The 19,717-nt window shown below is 38.2% G+C and overlaps 1 long non-coding RNA gene across 1 annotated transcript in view; it reads left to right on the plus strand.

The window, feature by feature from the left end:
- LOC105370829 (uncharacterized) overlaps positions 1-17,621 on the plus strand; it is a 35,427-nt gene extending 17,806 nt beyond the window's left edge. The window contains exon 2 of the long non-coding RNA NR_135679.1: positions 17,305-17,621. This is a non-coding gene — a long non-coding RNA (uncharacterized LOC105370829). The remainder of the gene's footprint in view (positions 1-17,304) is intronic.
- Positions 17,622-19,717: the final 2,096 nt, after the last annotated feature.

Genomic DNA, 19,717 nt, shown 5'->3' on the forward strand with positions numbered 1-19,717 from the left:
GGCAAAACCCTGTCTCTACAAAAAAGAGAAAAATGAGCCAGGCATGGTGGCACATGGCTGCAGTCCCAGCTACTTGGGAAGCTGAGGTGGGAGGATCGCTTGAGCCAGGAGCCGGAGGTTTCAGTGAGCTGAAATTGCGCCACTGCGCTCCAGCCTGAGCAAGAGGAGTGAAACCCTGTCTCAAAAAAAAGACAAGAAGTCAAACGGAAATACCTAAAAATTAAGAGTTTCTGTTCTTCAGAAGATATTTTCAAGAGAATGAAAAGACACATCAAAGACTTGAAGAAAATATTTTCAAAACAATACTTGCAAATTTTTTGTATCTAATCAAGAACTCGTATCTACAATGTATTTCAAAACCCAAAACTCAATAGTAAGAAAAAAATCTATTTAAATGGGCAAAAGATCTGAACAAACACTTCATAAAAATATATATATGGATGACAAGCACATAAAAATACGTTCAACATCATTAGTCATTAAGGAAATGCAAATTTAAAACTACAAGATACCATTACACATTTATTAGAATGTCTAAAATTAAGAATACTGATTGTGTCAAGTGTTGGCTAAGTTATGGAGCAGCTGGAATTCTCATACGCTACTAATGGGAAAACAAATGATACAACCACTTAGAAACACAGTTTCCTTAGAAGTTAAACATACACCTACCATAAAAGTTGTTCATTCCACTTTTAGGTTTTTTCCCAAGAGAAATAAAAGCATATGTCCATATAAAGACTTGTGTGAGATTGTTCATAGCAGCTATATTCACAAAAGCCATAAACTGTAAACAACTCAAATGTCAATCAACAAATGAATGGATAATAATTTTGTGGCATATCCATAAAATGGAATACTCTCAGCAATAAAAAGTGATAAACTATTATTATACAAAACGACATGGATAAATCTCAAAATAATTATGCTGAGTACAAGAAACCAGGCCAAAAAAAAAAAGAATACACACTCTGTAGTGTCATTTTTATAAAATTCTGGAAAATGCAAACTAGTGTATGGTAACAGAAAGCAGATCAATGTTTGTTGGGGGTATGGGGAAGTGGAGAGGAAAAACAAGAGGAAGGAATTAAAGGGATACAAGGAGATAGTTGGGGGTAATGGATGTATATGATATCTTCACTATGGTAATGCTTTCATGGGTGGATATATATATATATAGTCAAAACTTGTCAAGTGGTATTCTTTAAACATGTGCAATACCTCAAAAAAGATGGTTCCAAAAACAACATTCAGGACATAGGTTAGGGTTCAAAATAGAGTCCAATTATTTGTCTAGAAATCAGTAGAGTGGAGATATGCCAAAAGTAACAGCTGTAATCATTAGAAACCTTCATGCCACTAGACCTAGAGAGTACCTGGCTATAGGAATGCTTTCTTCAATATACTCTCAGACAGGCATTTTTAAAAAACTTTACGTGCTCTAAGTGTTGTCCTTTATCCATGTAATTTTGGTCTGTCTTTGAAAAATCTATCTCCATGCTTTCTCCCATTCTGATTAGAGGGTATGCTATTTTTCCCTTGAAATGTCTCAGGCTCCTGGGGCCTGCTGTCTAAGAAGAGGCCTTGTATTCACTCAGTTTTCCACACAGCCTATTTCAAATATCCCAGTTCATAACTACCTTCATTGTTACACATCAAACTCTTATTCAAACCATGTGGCTCCTGTTCTATAATGAGATGTTATAGGTCCAGGATCTAGAGATGCTGCTGCCAACTAGCCCTTGGAGTCAGAATGCTCCTCCTGAAATTTTTGTGTTATTTGGGCCTAGTTACCCTGTATTATCCATTCCCCATTGCCCAACACAATCTGAAAGAATACAAAATATAATTTCACAAATATAGTTCTGGTCACTATGCTAGGAGTTAAGTGGATACAGTGAAAAAAAGTTATTACCATCAGAAAGTGAAGGTGGCCACTTCCACTTCCCAAAAGATGCAGTAGATGCACATTTTCCTATTCCTTGCACTAAGTACAACAAAATACCAAGGATATTATATAAAAAAGAAGTATAAGCAGACCGAAAATTAGGGAAGATAGATAAGATAAGGACCTTGGAAGGCAAGGAATGATAGAGTGGTGGATTCCCTGGGTTTTTTTGGATCATATATATCCCAGAATTGGAGCTAAAGAATCTAGCCACCCAGAAATGTCAATGAGTACAGACCAAAAAAAAAAGAAAAAGAAAAAGAAAAAAAACTCCAAAAATAGCCTGCTCTCTGTAGCCAAAGGAACAGGAGTCAGTTTAGTGACACAGAAAACTTTTAGACAATAATTGCTCTATTCCAACCATAGGGGGAAAAAAAGCTACGCTCCTGGAACTTTCTCCAAGGCAGGCCATATGATAGGCCATAAAAATGAGCCTCAGTAAATTTAAGAAAATTGAAATTATATCATGCACTCTCTCAGATCACAGTAGAATAAAACTGGAAATCAACTCCAAAAGGAACCTTCAAATCCATGTAAATACATGAAAAATAAATAAATAACCTGCTCTTAAATGAGCATTGGGTAAAAAATGAAATCGAGATGGAAATTTAAAAATTCTTCAAACTGAATGACAATAATGACACAACCTATCAAAACCTCTGGGATACAGCAAAGGCAGTTGCTAAGGGGAAAGTTCATAGCCCTAAATGCCTACCTACATCAAAAAGTCTGAAAGGGCATAAACAGCCAATCTAAGGTCAAACCTCAAGGAACTGGAGAAACAAAAAGAAACCAAACCCAAACACAGCAGAAGAAAGGAAATAACCAACATCAGAGCAGAACTAAATGAAACTGAAACAAAAAAAAAGTACAAAACATAAATGAAACAAAAGCTGGTTCTTTGAAAAGATACATAAAATTGATAGACCATTAGCAAGATGAACCAAGAAAAGCAGAGAGAAAATCCCAATAAAGTAAGAAACAAAACAGAACACAATGGTGCTGAGATAACTGGCAAACCACATGTAGGAAAATGAAACTGGATCCTAATCTCTCACCTAATACAAAAATCAACTCAAGATTGATTAAATATTACAGCTGACACCACTGAAATACAAAAGATCATTCGAGGCTACTATGAACACCTTTACGCACATAAACTAGAAAACCTAGAAGAGATGGATAAATTCCTGGAAAAATACAGCCCTCCTAGCTCAAATCAGGAAGAATTAGATACCCCGAATAGACCAATAACAAGTAGTGAGATTGAAATGCTAATTTAAAAATTACCAACAACAACAACAAAAAAGTTAAGGGCCAGATGGATTCACAGCAGAATTCTACCAGACATTCATAGAAAAATTGGTCCCAATCCTTTTGACACTATTCCACATGACAGAGAAAGAAGAAACCCTCCCTAGTTAATTCTATGAAGCCAGCATCACCCTAATACGAAAACCAGGAAAGGACACAACCAAAAAAGAAAACTACAGACCAGTATCCTTGATTAACATAGATGCTAAAATCCTTAACAAAATCTAGCTAACCAAATCCAACAACATATCAAAAAGATAATCTACCATGATCAAGTGGGTGTCATATCAGGGATGCAGGGATGGTTTAACACACACAAGTCAATAAATGTGATACACCACATTAACAAAATTAAACACAAAAATCATATGATCACCTCAATAGACGTAGAAAAGGCATTCAACAAAATCCAGCATCCCTTTATGATTAAAACCCTCAGCAAAATCGGCATACAACGGACATACCCTAATGTAATAAAAGCCATCTAGGACAAACCCACAGCCAACATAATACTGAATGGGCAAAACTTGAAAGCATTCCCTCTAAGAACTGGAACAAGACAAAGATACCCACTCTCCTCACTCCTCTTCATCGTAGTACTGGAAGTCCTAGCCACAGCAATCAGACAAGAGAAACAAATAAAGGGCATTCAAATTGGTAAAGAGGAAATCAAACTGTTGCTGTTTGCTGACAATGTGATCGTTTACCTTGAAAACCCTAAGGACTCCTCCAGAAAGCTCCTAGAACTGATAAAAGAATTCAGCAAACTTTCCAGATACAAGATTAATGTACACCAATCAGCTCTTCTACATAACAACAGTGACCAAGCAGAGAATTAAATCAAGATCTCAACCCTTTTAACAATAGCTGCAAAAAAAAATCAAAGACAGGAATGTACCTAACAAAAGAGTCAAAAGACCTCTACAAGAAAAACTACAAAACACTGCTGAAAGAAATGACAGATGACACAAACAAATGGAAACACATCCCATGCTAATGGATGGGCAATACTGCTAAAAACAATCTACAAATTCAATGCAATCTCCACCAAAATACCAACATCATTCTTCACAGAATTAGAAAAAACAATTCTAAAATTCATATTGAACCAAAAAAAAGTCCCCATAGCCAAAGCAAAAAGAAGAAATCTGGAGGCATTGCACTACTTGATTTCAAACTATACTATAAGGCCATAATCATCAAAACAGCATGGTACTGGTTTAAAAATAGGCACATAGACCAATGGAACAGAATAGAGAACCCAGAAATAAACCCAAATACCTACAGCAACTGATCTTCAACAAAGCAAACAAAAACATCAAATGGGGAAAGGACACCCTTTCAACAAATGGTGCTGGGATAATTGGCAAACCACATGTAGGAGAACGAATCTGGATCCTAATCTCTCAACCTAATACAAAAATCAACTCGAGATGGATTAAGGTCTTAAACCTAAGACCTGAAACTATAAAAATTCCAGAAGATAACATTGGAAAAACCATTCTAGACATTGGCTTAGGCAAGGATTTCATGACCAAGTACCCAAAAGCAAATGCAATTAAAAAAAAGATTAATAGCTGGGACCTAATTAAACTAAAGAGCTTTTACTTGGCAAAAGGAACAGTCAGCAGAGTAAACAGACAACTCACAGAATGGGAGAAAATTTTTACAATCTATACATCTGACAAAGGACTAATACTCAGAATCTACAACAAACTCAAACAAATCAGTAAGAAAAAAACCAACAATCCCATCAAAAAGTAGGCTAAGGACATGAATAGACAATTATCAAAAGAAGATATAGGGCGGGACTGTAAACTAGTTCAACCGTTGTGGAAGTCAGTGTGGCGATTCCTCAGGGATCTAGAACTAGAAATACCATTTGACCCAGGCATCCCATTACTGGGTATATACCCAAAGGACTATAAATCATGCTGCTATAAAGACACATGCACACAATATGTTTATTGAGGCACTATCCACAACAGCAAAGACTTGGAACCAACTCAAATGTCCAACAATGATAGACTGGATTAAGAAAATGTGGCACATATACACCATGGAATACTATGCAGCCATAAGAAATGATGAGTTCCTGTCCTTTGTAGGGACATGGATGAAATTGGAAATCATCATTCTCAGTAAACTATCGCAAGGACGAAAAACCAAACACCGCATGTTCTCACTCATAGGTGGGAATTGAACAATGAGAACACATGGACACAGGAAGGGGAACATCACACTCTGGGGACTGTTGTGGGGTGAGGGGAGTGGGGAGGGATAGTATTAGGAGATATACCTAATGCTAAATGACGAGTTAATGGGTGCAGCACACCAGCATGGCACATGTATACATATGTAACTAACCTGCACATTGTGCAATATACCCTAAAACTTAAAGTATAATAATAATAAAATAAAATAAAGAAGATATAGAAATGGCCAAAAAACATATGAAAAAATGCTCAACATCACTAATGATCAGGGAAATGCAAATCAAAACCACAATGTGATACCATCTTACTCCTGCAAGAATGGCCATACTCAAAAAAATCACAAAAAGGTAGATGTGGCATGGATGCAGTGAACATGGAACACCTCTACACTGCTGGTGGGAATGTAAACTAGTACAGCCACTCTGGAAAACAGTGTGGAGATTCCTCAAAGAACTAAAAGTAGAACTACCGTTTGATACAGCAATCCCACTACTGGGTATCTACTCAGAGGAAAAGAAGTCATTATTCAAAAAAGATATTTGTACTTGCATGTTTATAGCAGCACAATTCACAATTGCAAAATTGTGGAACCAACCCAAATGCCCATCAATCAACAAGTGGGTAAAGAAACTGTTATATATATATATGTATATACATCACAGCCATAAAAAGGAATGAATTAACAGCATTTGCAGTGACCTGGATGAGATTAGAGACTATTATTCTATGTCAAGTAACTCAGGAATGGAAAACCAAACATCGTATGTTCTCACCGATATGTGGGAGGTAAGCTATGAGGACGCAAAGGCATAAGAATGATACAATGGACTTTGGGAGACTTGAGGGGAAGAGTGGGAGGGGGTGAGGAATAAAAGACTACAAATATGGTACAGTGTATACTGCTCAGGTGATGGCTGCACCAAAATCTCACAATCACCACTAAAGAACTTACCCATGTAACCGAATACCACCTGTACCCCAAAAACTTATGGAAAATTTAAAAAAAAATTAAAAATAAAAGCTATGGTCCTACCCCACCCTGCTAGCACAGGCCAAGTAGGCAGCCTAGACTTCTAACCTCACAAGGCTGTAATAAGGTGTCCCAACATCTCTGACAGAGTGGTATCCAGCGAGGGAGCTGAGACTATCTTTCCTGACAGCTGGTAATGAGGCCTCCCCGCAATATTGGTGGAAATCATATGAGGAGCCTGGACTTCCAACTCACTCAGCAGCAAGGAAACATACTTCCCTTCCTGGTGGGGAGGTGTCAGAGGAGGCCTGGCAGAGAATCAAGACTTTCGCCAACACCCACCAGTAATGAGATCACCCTCACGAAGGTGTCAGTGCAGACCACATGGAGAGCTAGAACTCTCACTCCCGTCCAGCAGTTACAAAAAGTCCCCTACCTTGGGTGTCAACAGAGGCCAGGTGGGTTAGAAATTTTACCTGCACCTGATAGCAACAAGTTTTTGCCCTCCCCTTCCCCTGCTGGAGCAGCATCTGAGAAGCTAGTCACAACAGAAAGTTTTAATAAGATCCAGAATCTTGTGAAAGTATCTAGGTTTCAAGCAAAAATCATTTCTCAATGAACCAGGAATATCTCAAAATGACCATTCACTGGGAAAAGACAGCCTCTTCAACAAATGATGTTAGGAAAACTAGATAGCCACATGCAAAAAAAAAAAAAAGTGAAGTTGAATTCTTACCTTACACCACATATAAAAAGTTAACTCTAAATGGATCAAAGACCTAAATGTAAGAGCTAAAACTATAAAACTCTTAGAAAGAAAACAAACAGAAGGGGAAACTCATGTCATTGGATTTGGTGAAGTTTTCTTAAATATGTTACCAAAACCACAGACAACAAAAGTAAAAGTAGATAAACTGGACTACACCAAAATTTAAGATTTCTATGCATCAAGGAACATAATAGAGCAAAAAGGTAAGCTACAAAATAAAACAAAATATTTGCAAATAATATATCTGATAAAAGGTTAATATCCAGAATATATACAGCACTCTTACAATTCAATAACAATAAAATCAACCCAATTTTAAAATGAGCAAAGGTCTTAAATAGACATTTCTCCAAAGATGATATACAAAGGGCCAAAAAGCCCATGAAAAGATGCTCAACATCACGAATCATTAGGTTAATGCAAGTCAAAACCACAAAGAGATACCACCTCACACCCATTAAATGGCCACTAACAAAAGAACAAAAAATAATAAGTATTTTTTACTTATATTAATAATAAGGATGTGGAGAAACTGGAACCCTTGTGCATTGTTGGCAGAAATGTAAAATGGTGCAGCTGCTATGGAAAACAGTATGGCAGTTCCTCAAAAAATCATAAATAGAATGACCATATGACCTAGCAATTTCACCTCTAAGACTGGAAGAGATATTTGTATACCCACGTTCTTGGCAGCATTGTTGACAACAGCCAAGAGGTGGAAGCAACCCAAGTGTGCATCAACAGATGAACGGATAAACAAAATGTGTTATGTACATACAACGAAAGATTATCCTTAAAAAGGAAAGAAACTGACAAATGCTACAACGTGTCTGAACCTTGAGAACACTGTGCTAAGTGAAGTAAGCCCGGGATAAAAAGACAAATACTGTATAATTTCACTATATGAAGTATCCAAAGTAGTGAAATTCATGTAAACAACAAGAATGGAGTTTGCCAGGGGTTGGAGAAGAGGGGGAAATAGGGAATTGTTGTTTGATAGAGTTTCAGTTTTGTAGGATGAAACCCATAAAGATTGTTGCTCAACAATATGGCTATACTTAACACTACTGAACTACACACCAAAAAATGGTTAAGATCATAAATTTTATGCTGTATGAACTTTACCACAAATGAAAATTTAAAAACAAGTTTTAATCAATTGTTGCTATAAACATTCATATACAAATTTTTACGTGACTCTAAATTAAGTGTTTTGCACCATTTTACGTTCCTACCAATAATAAGTGATCCAGTTTCTACACATCTTCTCTAGCATTTTGGTGTTGACATTTTTTTTTTAATTTTAAGTTCCGGAATACATGTGCAGAACGTGCAGGTTTGTCACATAGGTATATATATGCCATGGGTGGTTTGCTGCACCTATCAACCCATCACCTAGGTTTTAAGCCCCGAATGCATTAGCTATTTGTCCCAATGCTCTCCCTCCCCTCACTCCTGACGGGCCCTGGTGTGTGTTGTTCCCCTCCACGTAGACACTGTTTTTTATATCAGCTATTCTGATAGCCGTGTAATGATATCTCATTGTAGTTTTAATTTGTATTTCCCCAATGGCTAATGATGTTGAACATCCTCCCACATGCTTATTTGCCAACTGCATATTCTTTTTGGTGAAATGTCTCTCTATATCTTTCACCTATTTTCTAATTGGATTTCATTTTTATTACCTAGTTTACAAACTCTGTAAAATTTGGAAGATTTTCAGAAACAATAGTGTCTACCTATGAAGAAAACAAACACATGAGTACAAATAAAATTTTAAAAGACATTTGATTAAACAAAAGAATAAACAATAACACTCTGCAGTTTCTCAGTAGTGACATATAACTAATACCTGTGGTGATAAATATATTAATGGTTCTCTGGCCCACTGAGTCACTTTGAAATAGACCCAATATCCTGGCTGTCATCCATGATGTGACAGCTTACAGTCCAGAGGCTCTGCAGGAATCGTTTCAGGGGTTGATCTCAGGGTCAGTCTCCACCAGTTCAGGAACCAACCATGTTCTCTAGTCAGACATGAGGTTGAAACAAGTCTGTTTAACTCAACTGAAAGAGAAGGTCTGTTTCTCCTAACTCCCTATTGCCTTCCTCAAGTTTACCAGCAGAACAATGGTAATCATAATTATAGTAATAGCTACTAGCATAAGCACAGTTTTTATAGTTTATAAAAGGTTTTCAAAATTGACTTCATCTTCTGTTGTCTTACCTAATTGAGTAAAATTAAAATGTTATTGCAGTTAAAAAATTAACTGATGTTTTACAATTCTCAGGAATGCTGCAAGTCTAGAAAATAATCATTAAAATTATACTTTATTCTGCTGAATCAATGAAATTTTTTGGAAACAACCTCAACCCCCACAAAAGCAGCTTAGCACTGCTTAAAGAAATCCAGAATTTTTCTCCAAACACATATTGGATTTTTTATTAGTTGACCTCCGCAGCTAGACCAAAGAGCTGAGATCAGACTAAAGACCAAAAACGTCTTTTTTCCCTATGAGTAGTACCCCTCTGGTTTTTTATCAAAACGCATTCCTCTTGAGTTACATATTGAATAACTATCTCACATTTCTCCTGAAGAATTGAATTCACCTTGTTTTCACATGTTGCTATGCTGAGGGCACAAAGGATTCAACACACTCTCACAATGCATTTACATCACTGGAATTTTTGTGGCCTATTCCAAAGTTTTTCCACTAAACAGCTATTGTCTGTGTCCTCCTTAGATTCAAATTATGTACTAGAACTCCCTCATCTTGATTCAACAACAAGCTTCTTCACTTTTAATTCCACTTTCTTGGTTTCCTGAAGCTTTTTTTCCCTCTCTAGTTTGTTTTCTTATCATAATCTGTATTTAACTATCTCTGTATTCTTCAAAAGTACCTTTTTTACTCCTCCTCTTGGAGAACCTCTGCTAAGGCAGTGCAGAAGGGAAATGTAGGGTTGTAGTCCCCACACAGAGCTTCCACTGGGGCACTGCCTAGTGGAACTGTGAGAAGAGGGCCACCGTCCTACAGACCCCAGAATGTTAGATCCACTGACAGCTTGAACCACGTGCCTGCAAAAGCCACAGACACCCAACACCAGCCTGTGAAAGCCGCCAGGATGTCTGTACCCTGCAAAGCCACAGAGGTAGAGCTGCCCAAGGCCATGGGAGCCCACCTCTTGCATCAGCAAGACTTGAGACATGGAGTCAAAGAAGATTATTTTGGAACTTTAAGGTTTAATGACTGCCCTATTGGATGCATGGGGTCTGTGGTCCCTTTGTTTGGGCCAATTTCTCTCATGTGGAATGAGTGTATTTGCCCAATGCCTGTACCCCCATTGTATCTAGGAAGTAACCAACTTGCTTTTGGTTTTACAGGCTCATAGGCAGAAGGAACTTGCCTTGTCTCAGATGAGACTTTGGACTGTCAAGTTTTGAGTTAATGCTGAAATGAGTTAAGACTTTGGGGGACTGTTGGGAAGGCATGATTGGTTTTGAAATGGGAGGACATGAGATTTGGGAGGGGCCAGGGGCAAAATGATTTTGTTTGGCTGTGTCTCCACCCAAATCTCATCTTGAATTGTAGCTCCCATAATTCCCACATGTCGTGGGAGGGACCCAGTGGGAGGTAACTGAATCATGAGGGCAGATCTTTCCCATGCTGTTCTTGTGATAGTGAATAAGTCTCACGAGATCTAATGGTTATATAAAGGGGAGTTCCCCTGCACCCGCTCTGTTGCCTGCTGCCATGTAAGATGTGCCTTTGCTCCTCATTCACCTTCAGTCATGATTGTGAGGTCTCCCCAGCCATGTGGAACTGTGATTCCATTAAACCTCTTTCCCTTATAAATTACCCAGTCTTGGGTATGTTTTTATTAGCAGTGTGAGAACAGACTAATACACTCCTTTAACACCAAATAACAAATCAACAGGCAATAAAGATTCTCATGCAAACCATTAGAAGCATGGAGATTCTTCAAAGTCATTATTTCTTATAATTTTAAGAAATCCAGAACATTTCCTCAGGGCTTTCATTTATCTATTGTGTACCAAGAACTGGAGATACAATGACTGACCCTTGAGAAGCTCACATTCGAGAGACAAATATGTAAACTAACAATTGCAGTAAAATGTGGTCGTTGCCATGATAAAGCTCTGGACAAAGGGCTTTGAAATCCTGGATAGCAAACTGGATAATTTAGAATGCAATATGAGTGTGAGCTTAGAAAGAAAGATAAATATAAAGTAAGCAACAAGCTAAGGAGATTCATACACACATGCTGTAAACTCTTATTGAGCTACCATCAGATGCATGACATTCTCCTAAGCACATGACACCATTAGAATGGACAGAGCAGGTCCACTTAAACATGTATCTTACACTCTTCTGGGGGAGATGGATAATTACCAAACACATTTTTTTAGCAGTAAGTATTACAATGAAAATCAAACAAGGTAACTGAGTGAGGAGTGCTTTGGGGGCTATTTAAGCTGGCTAGCCAGTAAGAGTCTATTTAATGCCAAAGAATGGGATTTCAGTACCCAGATTTTGTTTCTGGACAGGTCCATCATTTCAATACTGCTTACTAGAGATCTCTCACAAAGACTATAAAGAACATTTAGCAAAAGACTTCACAACCCGATTAAAAGCATTTGCTACTAAAAACCAAGAGGGTATCAGAAGAAAACCTAGGAATTAATGCAAAGCTATGAGAGCTGAGTCATAGAGATAAAAAGAAAAACCCATAATGGAAACTATGCCTAGTAATTCTCAGGAGAAAATGGAACAATTTCAGAAGAACTAATACTTTCTTTTTTCATTTTTATTTATTTTACTTTAAGTTACAGGATGCATGTGCAGAATGTGCAGGTTTGTGACATAGGTATACACGTGCCATGGTGGTTTGCTGCACCTATCAACCCATTATCTAGGTTTTTTTTTTAATGTTTAACTGTTTAATACTATAATGGTTTTAATTCTTTTTTTAATTTTATTATTATTACAGTTTAAGTTTTAGGGTACATGTGCACAATGTGCAGGTTTGTTACATATGTATACATGTGCCATGTTGGTGTGCTGCACCCATTAACTCGTCATTGAGCATTAGGCATATCTCCTAATGCTATCCCTCCCCCCTTCCCCCACCCCACAACAGTCCCCGGTGTGTGATGTTCCCCTTCCTGTGTCCATGTGTTCTCATTGTTCAATTCCCACCTATGAGTGAGAATATGTGGTGTTTGGTTTTTTGTCCTTGTGATAGTTTGCTGAGAATGATGGTTTCCAGTTTCATTCATGTCCCTACAAAGGACATGAACTCATCATTTTTTATGGCTGCATAGTATTCCATGGTGTATATGTGCCACGCTTTCTTAATCCAGTCTATCGTTGTTGGACATTTAGGTTGGTTCCAAGTCTTTCCTATTGTGAATAGTGCCACAATAAACATACGTGTGCATGTGTCTTTATACCAGCACATCATCTAGGTTTTAAGCCCCACATGCATTAGCTACTTGTCCTAATGCTCTCCTCCTCTCCTTCTCCGCCCCCCACTGACAGGCTCCAGTGTGCTTTGTTCCCCTCTCTGTGTCCATGGGTCAGAAGAACAAATACTTAATCCTTAATAAGTGAAAAGGCAATCACTGATGCAAGTTTCTTGTGAATTCTTCCAGAGGTATCCTATACATAGGATGCTTGTGAATCTTTTTTTTAGGGTTTTTTCTGGTTTGTGGCGGGGGGAGAACATATCCTAACTTGCTATAAAACTCTTCGGCACTAATTTTTCATATTTAAAGCATTTTAGAATTTATTCTATATCAGTACACAAAACTTTGTCTCTTTTTTAAAAGCTGCATATTGACCTATTATTTATTTAACCATTAATTTTGCAATATAAATGATAGACATTGAGGTTGTATGAGGAATTGGCCGCCTGTTCACCAAACTCATTTCTTTTTCCTCAGCACACAGCTGGGCCTTATTTCCCAGCTTCCCTCACGCTTTGGTGTGGCCCGGTAACCATGTCCTAGCCAATAAAATGTGAATAGAAATGATGGGTGCCATTTCCAGCCCTGACCCATGAACACCTGATCCTCCATGCTATTACCCCTTTCACCAATTTGATGCACATAAGCAAGAAGACCTTAGCAAGCTCATGCTGAAAATGATGGAACCACAGAATACAAGGATCCTGACTTTCTGAATCAATATTTGAAGGAGAACCACCAATCAATCAGGGATACCCATGCTGGACTTCGAATAAGTGAGAAATCAACTTCAAATGTGTTTGAACTATTTGAGGATTTGTTAGTTACAGTAAATAATATTATTATATAAAGTGGTTCCCATTTCTACTACTGTAGAAACTGTAGTGTTGAATTTTACCTGAGCCCTGTGCTCCTGGAAAACAGGGGTGATTAAAGACATCTCCCCACTCTTTTGTGTTCTCTTCTAAAGAGAAACATGCTTCCCCATGTGCCTTAGCCAGACACAGATACTCCAAATATCCAAATTTTGTCTTACACATGATTAGCTGAACTGTTTTTTTCCCTCTGAGCAATAGAAACAAAACATCTATTAACCAAATTTTGGTTAAATTTCTCTCCCTCCCCCAGGCTCACCCTCAGCCTGAGTCAGCATAAACTCCTCCTTAACTGTCCCTTCCAACAGTAAGCTGTCCTGAGAGTTAATCTATGTGATGAGCACAAGGTTGGTGTTAAACAAATGTTAGCTATTACTATGAATGGACTTAGTGGACTTCATCAGTTCACCAGGTTCCTGATGGGAGCCCCAAGGCTTCCTTCAATTCTCTTTTTCCTTTCCCTATCCCTTACCCTCTCCAGAGGGCCCGCACTACAGTCGTTCCTAAGAACCCTGGCTTGTGAGCCCCAATAGCAAAGGAAGGAGAGAGAAGCAGAAACAGGGGGAAAAAAGAGGGAGGAAAACCAACAATGAAAGCCAGCCCTCTGCTTTACTTACACTGATGTTGGAGCACAAGTGGAATGCTTAAAAAGGAAAATAAAACTGCCACAGCTTTAGAACACCTTCATGTAAATTAATAGTTTTAGCACAACCTAGAAAGACATGTCAAAATCAGAGTGAAACAGCTGGGAGCACTGGTTGAAGTCCTCAGACGACTTTGGCTGTGAACAACTTTGTGCCTTATTACAGCTCTACACTCTCTCCCCTGAGCTTGGCATGGGGCCTAGCACATAGTAGGCACTCAATAAAACACTCAAAGGATGAATGAAGGAATTGTCACACAGATTCTCCATTGAGAGAATGGAGGTTGGAGGTCATCTGGTCATAGATCTGGCCATTAATACCAGTCAAGGAGGCCCTTTAAGACTTTTTTTTCTTAGGTTCACAATCAAATCTCTACATAATTTTTGCAAGTGATTCAACAGGTAGAAAGGCAGAAGACCTTTTGATGAAGCCTTTGTAGTCCTCCATTTACTAGTCAGCTTTTGGGGGGTGATCTAGGCTTTTATGGATAATACTCACACATCATGGTTAAAACCCCAGGGAAGTCTTTTCCTCCCAACTTTTAATTTCCTTCTCAGTTTCTCTTAAGTTCTTGTCCTTTCTAATACCACTCTAAATCAGAAAAATACCTGTGAGCCTGTGAAGCAACTTGGGCCCCTTACAGGTGAGGAGAGGATGGTGGAGAGCTGAGGAGAGTGGGATACAGGAAGGCGTCATGCCACCTTCTAGCTTTCAGTGCAGTGGTCCTGAGGGAAAAGTCAGGCAGCTGTAAAAGATGAGGGTCAGGTGAGGGTTAGGCCAGAAAATCTCTATAAGCCTCTCAATTCTAACATTCTGTAAAACCGAGTATGCTACCTAACAGTATTGTAGTAAGGTCGAGTTTTTCATTGAATTTATAACTGGTTCTATGTGCTAGGCATGAACATATGTCCCCTAACTCAAATCCCCCTTCATGGAAGGACTTGGTGTCCAGCATGGAGACTGTGATCAGCAAGACAGCTTCCAGCTGTCAGCTGCTTCAGGGTCTAGTTTAGCTGTAGGGAGCTGTCTCACCCGAGGTCATGCCATTCCAGGACAGCCAGCTTCCAGTGACTAGGCAAGGAGGCTATACAGGCACAGCCATTTGGTCCAAAGCAAGGCACCCTAACAAGCAATACTTGCCCACAGCTGCCTGCCCCGGGTTGGCCGAAGCTTTGTCAGGCTGGCATCACAGTTTAACCTCTCCTTCTGCCCAATCCTGCTTCCTCTTCCCTTCATAGGTGTTGAGCCCTAATAATTCATCTGTTACCCCAAACTCTGCTGGAAGCATCTGCTTCCAGAAAACCCTACCTATGACATTTTATATGAGTCCAAAGGGTGAGTTTCTAAATTATTTGGAATAAATAAATGGCCTCCCAAGAGGACTATTTCAAAGAACAAGTTTCAATGGGAGAGGTGAGCTCTGTTACGTTGTTTTGCAGGGGGAAACTGATTGAACACTTAACACATTTTAGTCCTTTAAGGAAGAGATTGTGATCCTCTGTTATCGGCAAATACAGAATTTGTGGCTGAGAGGAAAGGTTTTGATTCAGAGACCTATGGGCTAAATTTGCCTTGAATTTGATGTCCATTTGATGCTGGAAAGCGACGGTATGTGGTGGGAGCAAAGAACAAGAAAAGCCAATGCAAGTCCAACGACTCATGCAGTTTGAAGGTGGATCTGTTTGTGTCACGTCTAGGAAAAAGGTGAAGCTGCCACTGCTAATGGGATGGAAGCTCAAGGAAACGGAAAGGCTGTTTCCAAGGCAATCTGAAGAGCCAGTGAGCAATCTTAGCTGCCTCTTTTCTGCAGGGAAATCAGCAATGAGAATAGGACAACCAAACAGAAATCTCTGTTTTTCAAAACCTACTAAGTTGTCCTAATTCCCCTGCAAAATAAAATTCTCCTCAGAGAGAACGTCTTATGAATACCATGACCTTAATGAAGGTGAACGCTGATTTATTACAGAAGAAATAAAGCAGGAATTAGAAAGAACTTTGTATGGCACACAATGACAGGCATCCTCTGAAAGACACATTTATGTGGTTACTTGGACATGTGGTTTAAACACGCTTTAGAAAGGTTTACTAAATATAGAGCTATCATTTTTAGTTAGTTAAATTCAATGTTTATGGCTCTTTTTATAAAATGTTGCTTAGGAAAATGACTCCATTTTAAACTAGAGCTATAATTTGTAGCAGACAATATTAGACACTTACCTGTACTCAAATACAGTCAGAAGTGCCTGCAAATTTACTTTCCTCTGAAGCAGCCCTTGACCAATTAGTGACAAATGTAGAGTATGAAGTTCCAGCTCCCTTGTCTGGGAGTAAGAGTAAGAGCTAGTGACAGTCACATCACCAGAATTAACTTAACTTCTATGGTTCCCAACAAGATCAAGTCGAAGCTTCCCCCTGTGGGACTTTGCATGAAATCATATCCTTTTTTTTTTTTTTTTTTTTTTTTTTTTTTGAGACGGAGTCTCGCTCTGTCGCCCAGGCCGGACTGCGGACTGCAGTGGCGCAATCTCGGCTCACTGCAAGCTCCGCTTCCCGGGTTCACGCCATTCTCCTGCCTCAGCCTCCCGAGTAGCTGGGACTACAGGCGCCCGCCACCGCGCCCGGCTAATTTTTTGTATTTTTAGTAGAGACGGGGTTTCACCTTGTTAGCCAGGATGCTCTCGATCTCCTGACCTCATGATCCACCCGCCTCGGCCTCCCAAAGTGCTGGGATTACAGGCGTGAGCCACCGTGCCCGGCCGAAATCATATCCTTAATTGGTTCCCATCCTTCCCTGTCCTTCTTTCCCCACTTCCCTGCCAGTGTCCCCTGGGAGAACTTGTACAATAAATTACTTGCACACAAACCCTGCCCCTGAGTCAGCTCCTAGAGAACCCTATCTAAGACCATTGTATCCCAAATGTCCTGGGCCTCACTAGCTTATAGATCATAAAATAAAATTACATTCTTTTTATACCACAAAAATTATAGCATATGCCTCCTTTTATTCTGTTATTCATTCAAAAGATAAACTGTGCTAAGAGCTGGGGATAGAAAGGTAAACATAATTTCTATCTTTGCAGAGATTAAACTCCAGGTCTGAGAGCCAGATAACAGCCCTCCTCAAGATAACCAGTCAAGTTTGGCACTGCAGGCCCTGAGCCATTTTGGTCCACCCTGCTTTGACCCCACCCCTTGTCCACATCAGCTCCTGTGAAGCCACCCCAGAAGAAAACCACTATTCGTTCACATTGGCTGATTGATGCTCCATACGTCCAAACCTTCCAGTCCTCAAGAAACAAGTATGGCTGAGTTCTGGGTAAAAGTGGAGAACATGACCCTCTCCTCACTCTGTGCCATGTTTTATATAAGAAATAAATTAAAAGTATATAAAAACACATGTGCATATGTTTACATATATGTATATATACATATATTAATGTTATATAAATACAATATATATCTCATTTTTACGAAAAGAAACTAACAAAAATAAGGGTAAGTTTGGAAGAGATAGAAATGAGAATATTTCTGACTATATTTTTATACGGTTTTTACTTTTGAAACATGTAAATGTTTTACATATTCAAAAAAATAAAATTAAAAAAGAAAAATGCACTCCCTTAAACAAAATACAAGTAGAAACAAATGATCCAAATTATATTTCAGTTTGATAAAATATCCACCCAGAGGAAATAGTTACTTTGAATAACATATAAATGCAATCAGTAGGTTTATTATTGCTAGTAGAAATACTGGAATTGTAATTTTAAAACTGTTTTAAATACATTTTAGGTAAAGAAAATAAGTGTGTATTAATGTTATTAGAAACCGAGATTTTCAACATTAAGACAATACATGATAATAAAAGAAATAAATAAAAATGCCATAATTTTAATTACAAACACTATGAATTCATTACTCTTTTTAAAAAAATCTTACCTCTGTCCACCAAAAAGAGTCAAAGAGCAATAACAGTCCTGAAGGAACAAGACATCTAGTCCCCAGATCTTGGTTTCTAATTCTCCACTAATATATATAATGGGGTTCCCTGGAAAAAAACAGCTGATTTTAGGAAATGTGCAAGATAAGCCAAGGACATCTTGTTATGTCAAAAAACAAAACAGTGCTCAAAGACTAACAGAGTCATGTTGAAAGGACCCAGAACCCAGCTTGCAGGAGCATCTACTGGCCTTTGAAACAAATGTGAGCAGCAAAAAATATATCTATGATGGTTATAATACTCTGAATAAACAAACATCCATGAATTCATAATGAAACTCAAGAAAGATCGGCAAAGGAGAAGAAGGAAAAAGAAATAAAGCTCTTACTTCATAATAAATGTAAAAGAAATAATGGAATTTCAGAAAACTACCACATTGCTATCCCTACTGTAAAAGTTGTCATAGGTAAGGATCTCTAACGAATGCTAAAACCATTGAGTGAAAAGTCTGTCTCCACAGATTACTTGTGAATTGCAAAGGGGTAAATGTGCTCTTATAACGGAGCAATCTAGTAGTCACCAACTTTACCAAGTGACCAAATCTGAGTTTCTAATAGTAGGACAACCGGACCTTGCATGTCTTATTATACAATGCAATAAGAAGTATACAATATGTATGAAATATTCTTGCCAGACAGATTTAACCTAAATCTAATCAAGCTTCTAGACCTAACTTCTGATGTATAGAGAAGGAAACAGCAGTGCAAGTTCAATAATACCATGAAGAAGCCAGCAGAAAAATCTAGAATTTGGGACATTTCACGTGACAACTGGCTGGGATTCTTTAAAAATCAATGTAAAAAAAGTCGATAAATATTCTAGATTAAGAGACACTAAATATCCATAACAACCAAATGCAATGTGTGAATGCTTATTAATCCCGATTTTAAAAATAAGTATATATATTACCTTTTTGAGACAATTGGGGAAAACTGAATATGGATTGGATATTAAATATTATAGAACTATTGTCATTTTAGATAACAATATTGTGTATGTACAGAACATTCTTATTTTTAAAGTGATCATGCTGGTACACATAGGAGTGATTTATGATAGCCGCAACCTACTTTCAAATGGTTCCACCAAATATTAGATGTAGAAAGGGATAAAGCAAATATGGCAAAATGTTAACAACTGTTCAATATAGGTGGACGGTATACAAATATTCACTGCACAATTTTTTTCATTTTTCTGGTGCCTAAAATTTTTCAAACTAAAGAGATCGGAATGAACAAGATCATGGGACCCCATGATGGGTATAGGCCCTCACCAAGGAGTAATATCAACAATTCCCAGATGCCCATTTATCATCCCTTTGTAGTTATTATAAATACAAGATACACCACTGATGACTAAAAGAACTTACATTTAGATGGATGTATGCTTCAGACCTTAATTATGAAGATTTTAGAAAAACATATCACTTTTCTCAAGTAGCTCCTAAAGTTATGTCACTCAAGAAATATATGGCTTTCTTTAAACTTGAGCCA

The sequence above is a fragment of the Homo sapiens genome, chromosome 15 (assembly GCF_000001405.40).
Source record: "Homo sapiens chromosome 15, GRCh38.p14 Primary Assembly".
Classification (NCBI taxonomy): domain Eukaryota; kingdom Metazoa; phylum Chordata; class Mammalia; order Primates; family Hominidae; genus Homo; species Homo sapiens.